Raw genomic sequence first — 13,670 nt, 5'->3', positions numbered from 1 at the left:
ATACAATACACTTTCCTGTTGCCTCCTGAGCTTGTGGGTTTAGTTTTTCTATTTCCATTTTTTTTTTTTTTTTTAAAGAAAATAGATGACAGCCTTCAGTGCTTCCAGCCACATACAAAAGACTTAGTTCCAGCTCTGTGTCTTTCATGGGCAAGAGGCTAAATCTCCAGTCCCTGCTTGGGTGTTAAATACCAAGCCAGCAGCCGCTATGCCATATATCTGTGTTTGAATTCTCTTACCACCACCACCAGCAGCATGGGATCCTACAGCATCCTTCTTGATTGCCATCTGAGTAATAAATACACTGTTTTTCTGATCCTGGAGATTTCCTTTTCTTGTTTTCATGTGGTGCTATATTGGACATCCCCATCCATTTCATTATCTTTGTTTAGAGGTTTAGTTTACACTAAAGAAGTTAGTTTCTTTTAAAAAAAAAAAAAGTTATCTTCTTTTAAGCATATAAAATATAGGTATTATTTTTATAGTCAAGATTTAATTGAATTTACCAACTTGTTTTTTTATCATTTCCTGTGGTCCTCCATGGTTTCTTGCAATCCATTTGCTTTTCCTTTGTGTCTACTTTTTACTACAGGGACATCTTTATGTTAATGAAGGTCAATGGGGGTGTATTCACTTAGTCTTTTCATGTCTATAAGGGCTTTTATTTTGCTTGCACTTTTGGATAACAGATTAGCAGGGTATAAAATTCTAGATTGATTGTTATTTTTCCTCAGCACCTTGAAGATATTATTTCGTTTTCTTCTGGCATCTACTGTTGGTGAAGACAACCCTGTTATTGGTCTTTTTTTTTTTTTTTTTCTGTGACCTGTCTCTTCCTTCTGGTAGCTTTTTAAATGGCCTTTTTAAATTCTTGAAGTTCTGAAGTTGCACTATAATGTTTCTAGATGTGGATCTATTTGAAGTTGTCTCACCCACTACAGAGTATAATTTTGAATATGAAAACTTACATCTTGATTCAATTTTCAATAATTCTTGACAATTATCTCTTTATATATTGCTTCTCTACTATTTCTTTCATTTGCTTCTTATGAAACTTTTATTAGATGCTTGTTGGCGCTCTTCAATCTAGCTTCCATGTTTTTCAGTTGCATGCGTGTGTGTGTGTGTGTGTGTGTGTGTGTGTGTATGTATGTGTGTATAACTCTGTCTCTTTGTGATGCAATTTTGGTGAATTTCTCCAATAGTAGTTTTCAATTCAATTCTGTTTCTCTCTTTAAGTGTGCCCAGTCTGGAATTTATTTCCTCTATTGAACGTTTAATTTCAATAATTGTAACTTTCCTCTCCCAGATTTTCAATTGATTCTTTTTCATAACACTTGATATTTATGCCTGTTTTTATTTTGTAACTTTCTTGTTTTCTTTTAATGAGTCTTTTACCTTTATCTCTTTGACCAATTAAACATGCCCAATGTCACTGTCAGACTCTTCAGTCATATTAATTTTATCTAGAGTGAATTTCTGTTTGGATTGTTGATTTTTTTCTTTGCAATAAATCCCTTTATATATACTTGGAATATTGATTTTGTAGGCTCATTTTAAGTGAGGATTTTCTCCCTTTCTTTTTCCTTCTTCCTCCTTTGTCTTTTCCTTCTCCTTTCTTCTTCTCTCTCCCCTCTCTGTTTTCACCTGTTCCCATCCCGAACCAGGTCTTATATAGTAGCTTACCATTCCTTTCCCTTGGATGTAGTGTGGGGTGTCATGCTTATAGTCACAGTCACAGAGTCAGCAGGCAGCTAGCCTTCGTTCCTGACCACAAAGTTGCATCTTTACTCCTCCCACCCTTTAGGAGCACCCCTGTCCCCTCTAACCTATTGGGATTGGACTGTCGACCTCATTGTTTGATGCTAGACCCAGAGCCCAGCAAAATTATGGCCTTGGTTCCATTTATCATTTTAAATTTCTATTCCATTTCTGGTTCATGGAGATATTAATCTTATTTTTGAACATGGCTATGAACTTTGGTGTTCTCTTTATATAATTTACTGTCATTGTTTCTTGTATAGATCAGACCAGATGATCAAAGTGTGAACCAACTATACCATCCTAAAGTTGACAATTCCCTTATCTCTATTCAGAAAATGTGGATCAGGAAAGTGATGGGCCTAATTTGTGTCACCGGGTCCAGGGTGTGCAGTGGAAAGACTAATTCATCTTGGGCTGAGTGCTTACCTTGTTGTGGAGGAGGTGCCAGGGCACCTGGGCTGATAACCTCATCATGGCCACATGGGGCAGAAAGGTGTTTCCAAAGGAAAGGAGGAATAGTTCACCAAAGATAGGAGATAGGATCATGTGCTGAGCAGAACACACTCATGGAGGCCACAGTCAATGCCCAGAGCCCTTCTCCTAGTCTGGAGCTCCTGGAAAGCTAAGACTTACCTTTATATTTGCATGTCAACACTTTGAGTGCCTGAGGAGGGCTGAGTGCACAGCCGGAGCTCAGCCAGATTGATAGGCGAATACATGAGTGCACCACAGGAGAGAATCAACCTGGAAATGCCCCCTTCCCCTAGCTTTTCTCCAAGGACAACAGAGGCTGAGAAGCAGAGCAGTAGGCATGGTCAGTAAATAAAGGTCCTTCAATTGAGATATTTTCTTTTCCTCAAGCCTCAGAGATATGTAAGTAGACAAAGAGGCCAGGGGTTCCAAAACAAAGGCAAGAGGGGCCTGGAGCTGAGCTCAGAGCTCAGGTGCCATCTTGTCTTCACATAGGAACAAGCACTTGTTTAAGCCCTGGTTTGAATAACCAGCCCAGAGTCATGGGATGCTGAGCAGGTGGGCAGGAGCTCTGGTGGCAGAGCAAGTGGGCCATAGATCCTGGAGAGCCAAGACACAGACCCCTGCCACCCACACCAGGGTTCTTGGTCGGGGGGAGGTTACAGGAGATTGGTGGGCTCCCAGGCAGGGCTCTGGGGCCACCTTCTACCCTGTACCCCCAGTCTCCCATTTCCAGGCCTGCTCAGCACTACCACTGCTGCTATCTCAGTTAATGGCATCTTTCACTTCATTTAGAGCTTGATTTGTTTACAAACTAATAAATATGATTTATAAAATGTGCCCGTGGTTTGCTAATTACTGCACATATGGCGTTTTCATTTTGTAAAACTGGCATTTGCATTCTTTGTAGATTATGACTTTGTGTCCCCAGTGCTAATTAGTCTGATTAGGCAGATAACTTCTCTGTTACTAGGCTGAGAGGCCGAAGGCTGGGGCACTGGGGGCAGAGGGGCTGGGGGTATGGCTAGCTTTGTGGGGAGGATACAGGGAGGCCCCAGGACTTTGCTGAGGACCCTGGAATGTCAAGCAGCCCATTTTGTGTCCTTCCCCAAATCCAATTAAGCACAGTTCATTAGTGCAAATTTCTTAATCAGGCCTAATCTTCCCACTGAATGCACAATTTCTGAATTGTCACAGAGCTAGGTCAGCTTGCGGGGGATCAAGAGGCTGGTCAGGCCTTTGGCAGGAGAGCAATGAGACGGCAGGCTACCAGGCCCTCCTTGGTGGGCCAACAAGGAGGGTGCATGGTGCCAGGCTTGTCCACAACCCAAGACCTTGGATGGCCAAAGGGGATCCCCAGGCCTCTAGACCAAATTATGAGCTTCAGACGGGAGGTCCCTCAAGTGGTCTATTCCACAGGATCTGTCTTCAAGCCCCAGGACAGCCTAGAGATAGTGCTTCTAGCTCCAGTGGAGGAGCAGTGGAAGGCTGAGAACCAGGCTCCAATCCCATGGGAGCAGGTCCCAGGAGAGCCACCTGCCTTTAAATGGCCTAGATCAGGAGCAAACGCAGCTATATCTAGGAATGAAGTCCTCTTTAGTTTTGTGGGATGTGTAACCCCTAAGTTTCTGTAAAATTAAAAGGAGGAGAGAGAGAGAGCCCCCTACAAATGACTGGTATTGAATCTCCTGCCATCTTGGTGAGCTTGGCCAGTGCCAGATTTAATCTGTGTTAGACAAATAAGAAAACATGTCATTGCCTGAATCCAAAGTAATACAGAGCAATTTGTACCTACTTCATTACCTCTAAGGGAGATGATATCCCCAAAGCATTTAGTGTAAAGTGCAACACATGTCTTTGGAGTATTCCTCCCAGAGATAGTTATATTTTAAGTACATTGATGAATGTGCAATGGTGGAATTACATTGGATATGCAGTGGAATCAAGGTTAGTGGGCTTTGGATGAGGCCACACCAAGGTTTCCTAAACTCTGAGGGCACCCAACAGAGGCAGTCCTTGGGCCCCAGCCTCCCTCCCCCTTGACCTCCTCAACCAAACATATTGAAAGCACCTGGCCACACATCGTCCAATCTCCTTTCTCCATTCAAGCGCCCTCCCGTCTTCTCATGTGGCTGGCTCCTTCACACTTGCTAAGGCTCAGGAGGCCTTCACCCCTAGCTGGATAAGTGACTCTGTGCTCCCTTGGTTTCCTGTGCTTTTCCTGTCACAACACTTAACACACTGGTTTGCAATGACTATATCTTCTCAGGTCCACGAGCAACTTGAGGGCAGAACTGTGGTTTCCTTACTCTCTGCCGCAACCCACATAGCTGACCCTGCTGGGTGGATGGAAGGATGGATGCATGGATGGATGGATCTCTATGGGTTCATCTCCTCCTGCCTTTCTCCCTGCTTGGTCCTGGGACTTGAGAGGGCCCTTGCAGGAGAAGGATGGGATGGAGTTAGGGTGGCAGCATTCACATGGGCTCTACTCCTTTGTCTCTTTGAGCGGGGTGGGGTCGGAGGCCTCACAGTCTCAGGCCCACCTGGGCCCAGGTTGGCCTTGTTCATGGAGTCAGGAACCAAGGAGGAGCCTCAGGACTGCTTATTGGTCCGGGGAGTTCTAGAGAGAAAGTCCTGATCTTGGAAGGCGAAGATGTCAGTTCTGGTCCTGGTCGACCTTGGAAGAGTTGCTTTCCCTGTCTGAGCTTTGATTTTCTCCTTTGAACAATTGGGATCAAATAGCCACCCAGGCTGCCTCCCTGGCCAATATGATGATTCAAGGAAGTAGCTGTCGACAGGAAGGGGCAGTGCATTTGTGCGTGTGCATGCATTCATGAATGTGGGTGCATATGTGCAGGGGAAGGAAGTGAGTGCCTAGCTGCCCTGGCAAGGCCAGCCCAGGCGGTGGCCTTTAGGAGAGCTGCTTTGCTTTTCAGTTAGGCACTTCCTCTAGACTCTGATGGGTGGGCCTGAGCCTCTCCCCCATCTGTAAGAGGATTGCCTTGCCCCATCCATTTGAACTTCATAACCAGCATCCCGGTGTGGGGATATGCTTCTTTCTCATTCTTCAGAAATCTTAATGCACTCTGCCTTAAAATTGTTTTGAAGTAATAAAGAGATTTTCACAGGCAACAAACGAGTCTCTGGACAGACTTAATCTGAGGCCAAAAGCCAGCAATGGAGATTTACCTCCCATAATGGCTCCTTTCAAGTGAGACAAAGAGGAAGCCCAATTTCCACTCCTCCCCAAGAGGAGGAGCAGGAGAGGGCACCCCAGAAACCCCTGTTCTGGGCCCAGAAGCCTTGTTCATGAAGGAAACTCAGCCAGCAGCTCCACAAGCGCGCCTTCAACCAGCTGCTGGGGCCACCTTGGTCCCGGCGCTGTAACACCCACTGCTTCCGTGGTGGCCTTGGCTCCAGTGCCCTGATCTGTTCTGATCCTGGCTGCACAGCCACCATCATACCTGGGGAGGGACATTAAAGCTGAAAATCACAGAACAGGTGTTAAGGGGGCAGGGCAGAGGGCCAGAAACCACAGCCCAGCATAGACCTTCTCCCAGCTCCCAGATCTACACACACAACCTCTCCCTGGACACCTCCCCTTGGATGTCCCAGAGGTGCCGCCAATTCACTGTACCCACACCTGGACTCCCCAGACCTGCCCTAGCTCCTGTGATCCCCTTGTGATCATCACAAGGGCATCACCCCCTTCCTGACCAGAGGGCATAGCCAACTGGCATCTGGAAGGTGGGACTGGGGAGGCTCACACCCCCAGAGACTTTGTGGCCTCAGCGAAGGGCCAGTGGGTGAGCTCCACCTCAACAGAAGTCACCGTCCACCCTCAGCTGGGGACCAGGTGGATTGGCACCTTTACCACAGCACATTCTAGGAAATAAAAGGATGAAGGGTCCACAGACAACCCCCAGGAGACCCAATTTCCTTCTCCCCTTATTCCCTTCAAGGTCTTCCCAGGCTACTGAAACAGTCTTTCATGATTCTGGCGCATTTAGTGCACCAAAGTTACTTTTTTTCTCTTTTTTTGAGATGGAGTCTCACTCTGTTGCCCAGGCTTTTGTATAGCGGTGCGATCTTGGCTGACTGCAACCTCTGCCTCCTGGGTTCAAGTGATTCTCCTGCCTCAGCCTTCTGAGTAGCTGGGATTACAGATGCCTGCCACCACACCCAGCTAATTTTTGTATTTTTTGTAGAGACAGGGTTTCACCATGTTGGCCAGGCTGGTCTCGAACTCCTGGCCTCAAGTGATTTGCCCCCCTCGGCCTCCCAAAGTGCTGGGATTACAGGCATGAGCCACCGTGCCTGGCCTACCAAAGTTACTTGGTGTGTTGTCCACTTTGGCCTTCTCTTCTTTAGATTAGGAAGAATGGATGGGGGTGATAATGCACACTTCTATACCAGCACCCACATATCTACCTATACTTACCACACGTATGCCCTGAATATGTGCACAGGTGCCAACACAGCACCTCCAAACATTTGTGGATATCCAGGCACACACGCAGCTGAGCGATTGTACATCCACATGTGCACACAGAGGTAGACCCTCCTGTGCTGGGCTTGGAGTCTCACTTTGCAGCCCAGGGGTAAAAGAGCATGTTGCGGGCCAAGAGTACACAATACTCCCAAATTTCTAGATAAAGCCTCAAGAGGAAAGGAAACAGATAAAAGGAAATTATGGCACCTCTTTCATGAGCTGGGGCCAGCAGCCCCCGTGGCCTCTGTTGGCTGCACATATGTGAGTCACGGGACACGTGCTGCTCTGGGGGTTGGTCAGAGCTCCTGCTGTGGGAAGCAGAGGGGCTCCCTGCCCAGAGATGCACTGAAGGCATCTTTCATGTCTCAGGACACTTCTCAAGCCTTGAGGGACAGCTATTAAATTGTGGGGAAAGGACTCACTGGATTGGACCTGAGTGTTGTTTCAAAGACCGCTGTTTTCAGGCTTTGTGACCTTCAGCGAGTCACTTAACTTCTCTGGGCTTCAGTTTCATCATCTGTAAGAGGGGGATGAAGGCACCTACCTGTCTACCTCCAAAGATGAGGTAATCGATGACAGTGAAAGTTCTTCAAAGCTGCAAAGCCTCGTATAAATTTGAGGGGTTATTAATATGTTCTGCTTCCAAAGCTGGCCTTCCCTCAGGAGACAATGCGGTGTTTTTGAACATGGAGTGAATTTCCCAAACTGTGCCCTCCCCCTCTCCAGTATTTCTGCCTTGGGTTGTCAAAAATGGTAATCTTCTCTCAGGCCTGAAATTATGAGCCTGCTTTATTGGTCAAAGGCCATAATAATTTGAGCTCTTATTTTATAAACTCATTTCTGCACAGTGATATCCTGATAGGAGCAGGAATAATAAATCACAAACATGTCCCCCAAGATTGCATTGTAAATGTCAAACTAGACAGGAAATTGTAATTAAAGAAAGGAAATTGCTACAAAGAAGCACTTGATTTTAAAATGAGCCAAGCATAGAATTTTCTAAGCATTTAATTATAGTCCAATTTCAACTGACTTGGCTTTTGCAGTCATATTTCTTATAACTCTTCTACATAATAACCAAATCTCCCTGCTCACATAGATCTGGCCTGTCAGAGGGTAAGGACGCTGTGTAAGTACAGGGATTAGGAACTTTATAGGGACAGTAATCATGGTAGAGGCTCGGGTGATGGACACAGGTGTCGGGATTTTAAATCAACCGCAATCGAATTTCCAGCCAACAGGGAGAATAACCTAACACCTGTGTGGAAGCAGATTTGGCCTGACTTCAGCTCAATGAGAAATTCACTCAGGCATTTGCTTCTGGGGAGAAGAGAGGCCCAGGCTTCCATGTTCTCTTCCTTAGACCCTCAAATATGCATAGGAATAACCCTCACCCAATCCACCCTACTGCAGGTCACGCTTTGCCTGGGCTGTAACTTGGGGCACAGGGCAACATCCCCACCTTGCAGCACTTGCATGTTGGGTAGTTTAGTTGTGTATTCAACCAGCTGTTCAGCATCCAGAGGCTTTGGAGACAGAAATAGAGTGGCCAAGACTGTAGGATGTGGTGCCAGACGAGCTGAGTTCAAATTCTAACTCTGCCACTTGCTGCTGTGAATTGGGCTAAGTCACATCACCTCACGAGTCTCAATTTGTACATTTTTAAAATGGAGATAGTGACAGTCTTCATCTCATACATGAATTAGTAAGTTGCTTGTATGTGGTTGATACTCATAAATGGAAAAATGAAAGTGATTATAATGGTTATTATGCCCTGAGTCTGTGTTGTGTCCAAAGAGGAAGATGGGGAAATTGATGGGCTATCTCGAGTGATGGCGGCGAGATAACTAGATGGGGCTGAGCCAGTACAATTAGTGCTGGTTTTGGGAAGTGGGGTGGTGAGGGGTGGCCAGGGGGCACTATGTTCCTACCCACATGATGAGGAGTGATCATACTACATCAAAAATATCTTGCTGGTCGAGGGATGATCCCCAAAGTACCCTGCACACTGGGTCTTCTTGCCTCTCCATCAAGTGTATAGGGCCCAGAAACTCGTTAGCTATGGTTCAAGTCCTAGTCCAGAGGGGAGGCTGCTCCCGGCTGCTTCCCCATGCTCTCCTGCGGGCTTAGCGTCTCCCACAGAAGGGGGCAGAAGGACTCAGAAACAGATGATCCTTCTTCCTAGAATCTTCCTTTTTTTTTTTTTCAAGACAATTCAGTGAGGTTGTATGCAGCAGGGCAGGTAAATTCTGACACCAGTGGAACAGGGCTGGTGTCTAAACCTTGCTGCTGTCTCAACGGAGACATTGCCCAAGGAAACACTGTGGATGGGGCCCAGCAGGTCTGAGTGTTGTGCTGATTTTGCATCATACAGGCACCAGGGAATGCCATTTACACAGAGCACAACATCAATGCCACCTCTTTGAATTGTGCAGCATACAACCTCCACAACTAAACACGGTGAACTTGGACTCTGGGCCCAGAGCTAAATTGGAGCTAGACTGATGGAGGTGGGAACAGGTTTGAGACGGGTGCATCACGGTTTGAAGATCAGGACTTGAAGTGAAGAGTTGACAGTCCTGGGAGTGGAAGCAGAAGCCAAGGGAGCGAAGTCCCAGAGAACTGTGAAGGTGAGTCTGGAACCACAGGTGCAGGGAAAGGGAGCTGATGTCCTCTCTTCCCTGGGTACCTCTGCTACATGAGATTTGGTTCATTCCTGTCTCCAGAGCAACAAGGGAGTGTGCCTTCTGAGAGAAAGCATTGAATGGAGCACCTACCTGCCCCCAGTCAGAACATCCCCATCTCGACTGGTGATGAGTCAAATGCAGGGATCACAGTGCATGGGGAGAGAGCGTGTGTGTGGCTGGTAGCATAGGACCAGGTCACTGAGCTGGGACCATCCTAGGGGAAAGCTTCTCGGCAGAGTGCCATTGGACAGGTCACGGAGAGAGTGTGTTGGAGTGTCACATGTGCCAGTGGGGAAAGGCATTCCAAGGAGGCAGAACAACCTGGGCAAAGGTAGAGAAGTGTGAAGATACTTTCATTCATTCAAAAGATATTTATTGTGACTACCATGTCTCAGGCACTGTTCTGAGCAGAAGGAATCTTTGAATGAACAAAACAGACAAAAATCCTTGTCCTCCTAAAGTTTCCATTCTCTTCCACGGGAAGAGAAAGATAACAAGTACCACAATAAACAAATTGTATGATATGTCAGAAGGTGATAAGTGCCATGTGAAAAATTAAGCAGGGAAGGGAAATAGGGAGTTCAGGGCAGGAGTTTCAATTTTACATTTTAAATAGAGACCTTCTTGGGAAGTCAATATTTGAGCCAAGATTTGAAAGAGGCAGAGGAGCAAGGCAAGCGGACATACAGAAGAGAATCCCAGGCAGAAGGAATTGGAAGTACAAAGGCCCTGAGGTTTGGCATGTTCAAGGGACAGCCATGAAGCTGCTATGGAGAGAGGAGCGGGAAGTAGTGGGAGAGGAGGGTAGAGAAGTGAAAGGAACCAGGTTACACAGGGCCTTGCAGGTGATTGTGAGGACTCAAACATGATCAGGCTCTTTCTGACATCACTGTTGAGAGCAGGGGGAAAGAGGTCAAGGATGGAAGTGGAAGGGGTCTGGATTCAAACCCCCGCTTGGCCACCTACTGGCTGTGTAACCTTGGACTATTACTTAAGTTCTCAGGATCTGTTTTTCAAATGTAACCCAGGGATTGATAAGAGTGTCAACTTCATAGGATTGTGGCTAGGTTCAAAATAGTGCATTCACCTACAAGAGTCATACACTTGCCGCAAGTGCCTGGCTTGTGGCAAGCACTACATGAGTGTTAGTCACTACTGTTTTTAAAAAAGGAGAGACAGGTCAGACCTCCTGGTCCAAAGCTCATTGAGGCTGGCGTTGGGAGGAGGGGATACAGAGGGCGGCCCTGAGGCCGGGAGAGTGGCTTTTGCAGTAACCCAGGAGAGAGATGAAGGTGACTGGACTGAGGGGTCGGGGTAAGAGGCAGGGGTGGGGAGAACTGGGAGGATTTGAGAGAAATGTGTGAGGTGAATATGGTTAACAGTCAGATGGGGGAGGTTGAGGGAGAGGTGGAGAAATGAGATCAGGCCCTCCTTGCGAGGAACACGGGTTCCAGCAGCTGCCTTCTCATCATCACTCTCCCTTCTGCCCTCAGGGTGTTCTTCTCAGGCAGGTCCTTCCTTCCCCTGCCCGGAGGACCCTCTACAGGTTCAAGTCCACACTCCTCTGTTCGGGAGTCAAGGCCTCTCTCACTCTGACCCTGGCCAGCTTCATCTCTTGCTGTTCTCTCTCTCTCTCTCTCTTTTTTTGAGACAAGGTCTCACTCTGTCGCTCAGGCTGAAGTGCAGTGGCGCGATCTTGGCTCACTGCTACCTCTGCCTCCCGGGTTCAAGTGATTCTCCCACCTCAGCCTCTCGAGTAGCTGGGATTACAGGCACCCTCCACCACGCCTGGCTACCTTTTGTATTTTTAGTAGAGATGGGGTGTTTAACATGTTGGCCAGGCTGGTCTTGAAATCCTGATCTCAAATGATCCACCCGTCTTGGTCTCCCAAAGTGCTGGGATTACAGGCATGAGCCACCGCACCTCGCCTCCCACAGCGCTCTTCAAGACATCTGTGTTCCACCCCTGGAGGCCCTGCCTCCTTCTCTTGGGCCCTTCCCTCCATTCCAGGCTGCCCAACCCTCACCCCACCCCCAATCTCCAGGGTCAGCCCCCCAGGACCCAGGTCTCTTGGCAGCAATGTGGGGATGTGTCTCGGCGGCCAAAACCCCCATTGGGGCAGGGATTCGTTGGCATTCCTGCCTCAGTTCCTGAGGTTCCTGCCAAAGGGCTCTCTGGCCGGTTCTTCCCCACGTGTGATCGGCTCTGCCTGGTCACCGTGTCCTTGGTGGCTGCATCCTGGAGGGAGCCTGCCCTCTTCCCCTAGGGGCTAACATCTGGCACCACCCAGGTCCCATCTGTAAAGGAGGCAGGTGTGCGCTCAGGACTGCTAGGGTCCCATACTTTGTGACCCTTTGGTCAGAAGACACCAAAGTCTTCCTCTATGACGCCTTCAGGAAAGGACACCGATTCCCAGTTAAGAAGACATGTTGGTGGAGGAACTCTAGGCACTCAGAAAAGGGGCCAGGTCAGCCAGCAGAGGCGGCACCCACGACCCCGGCCTGCCCCAGGGCCCTCGGAAGCAGTCTTCCCTGAGAGAGGGAGGGCCTCCAGCTTCCAGGTTGTACAGTCACACCGGGGCTTCATCTCATTCTGGCCAAGACTCAAGACCACATCCATATTGCTTGCCCTGCCCTCCAAGGCCCCTACCATCCCCACTGCTGCCCAGAGAGAACTCTGCAGCCTGGCCATGCCCAGCCCTCCTCTTGACCCTGTGGGCTCACCTCCCTGCCTTGCCCACACCTGTTTCTGCCTTCCTGGCCAGCTCCTGCAGCCCTCCTCTGGGAGCAGGTCTCCCTGGCCTCCTCCACCATCTCTTTGCTCCTACCCTCCCACACCCCCACCAGCCATTACTGGATGCTTTCACTGCAGAGAAAGCCTCAGGCTCCAAACCTCAGCCCTGCCTGCCTGAGGTCTTCCACAGGTTCCTATCAGGCCTCCTCCAGGCCACCTGCCCTCCGGAAACAGGGGCCACCTGCCTTTTCCTTCTCTATGTCCCCTCCTGGGACCAAACTCTGTGAGGCTGGTGTCTGACCCACATTCACTGAAAGGAAGAAAGAGCAATTGTTCTCCTGAGGCCTCATGCCCAGAGACAAGGCCTGACTTGGGGCAACCAACCCATGAGTGCCTTGGGCAACAGAAGCTGGTGATAGGGAATTTAGAGGGTCCAGAGGAGGCCCCTCGCAGTGGGCAAACAGGACCTTCGGCAAGAGGCCCAAGCCACATCTAAGGGAAAAGCAGAGTCCATTAAGTCCATTAACTTTAACACTGAAATCAATGTTGCAGCCACCAGAAGTAATTAGCGTAATTCACATTTCAGATCAGGAGATTTTTGAAAACCAAGTTTAATTACATTGAAAAATGACAACTTCATTTTCCCTCCCTGGATAGGTTCCCCTGATGTTCCCCACACTTTCATTAAAAAGAGGACTGGTCACAGGTGTGTGGGTTACTTTTTAATGCCATTAAGCAAAAGAAGTACTTTGGCTATTTCAGAGCTAATAAATTAGCTTGGATGCCCACAACACAGTCAAGTGTCTTTGAAATGTTCCCTTCCTTGTCTGAGGGGAGAGAGTGTGGTTTTAGGCCTGACAGAATCCAGCTGGGGATCTCAGGCAACCAGAGTGACTCTGATAGATCAGCAAACCCATTTTACAGATCAGTAAACTGAAGACTGGCCAAGGGAGGAGACCCACTTAAGGTCAGTTGTCCTGCCCTGTGCTTGGTGCAAGGGACGCAGAGATGATCCTTGCTATCGAGGAGTGGGCTATGATGAGCTCAGCACAGATGAACTTGGGGAATCAAGAAAGCCTGGCTAGGGGAGGTGACACAAGGTCTGAGTCTTAAAGGACCTGGGATTTAGCAGAAGAGAGAGCTGCCATTCCAGATGGGGGAGAGGTGAGAGCAGAGGCCCAGCAATGGGCAGGAGGTTCTGGAGTGTATCTGGGCCTGGGTAGAGGACGCCCACTGGAAGCGTGGCTGGGGATGCCGCATCTCACCTCTCTGTGCCTTCCTAGGCGGAGACCTCACATTCACATGAGGATATTGGGATTCCCAGTAAATTAAAGATGGCAGCCAGGAAGCCAGCCTGTCCCTACCTTACCCCATCCCATCAACGTCCCTGTACCACCCTTGCGCTACCTACTACTCTAGCAGCATTCCAGCCCTAGCTCAAGCACCTGATCCTATCTCTGTCACCACCCTCAGATCGGGCCCAGTCCCAGCAACTTAGCCTCACCATCCTTATTTTCAG

Source organism: Homo sapiens, chromosome 11 (assembly GCF_000001405.40).
Source record: "Homo sapiens chromosome 11, GRCh38.p14 Primary Assembly".
NCBI lineage: Eukaryota > Metazoa > Chordata > Mammalia > Primates > Hominidae > Homo > Homo sapiens.
This window is presented reverse-complemented; position numbering follows the sequence as displayed.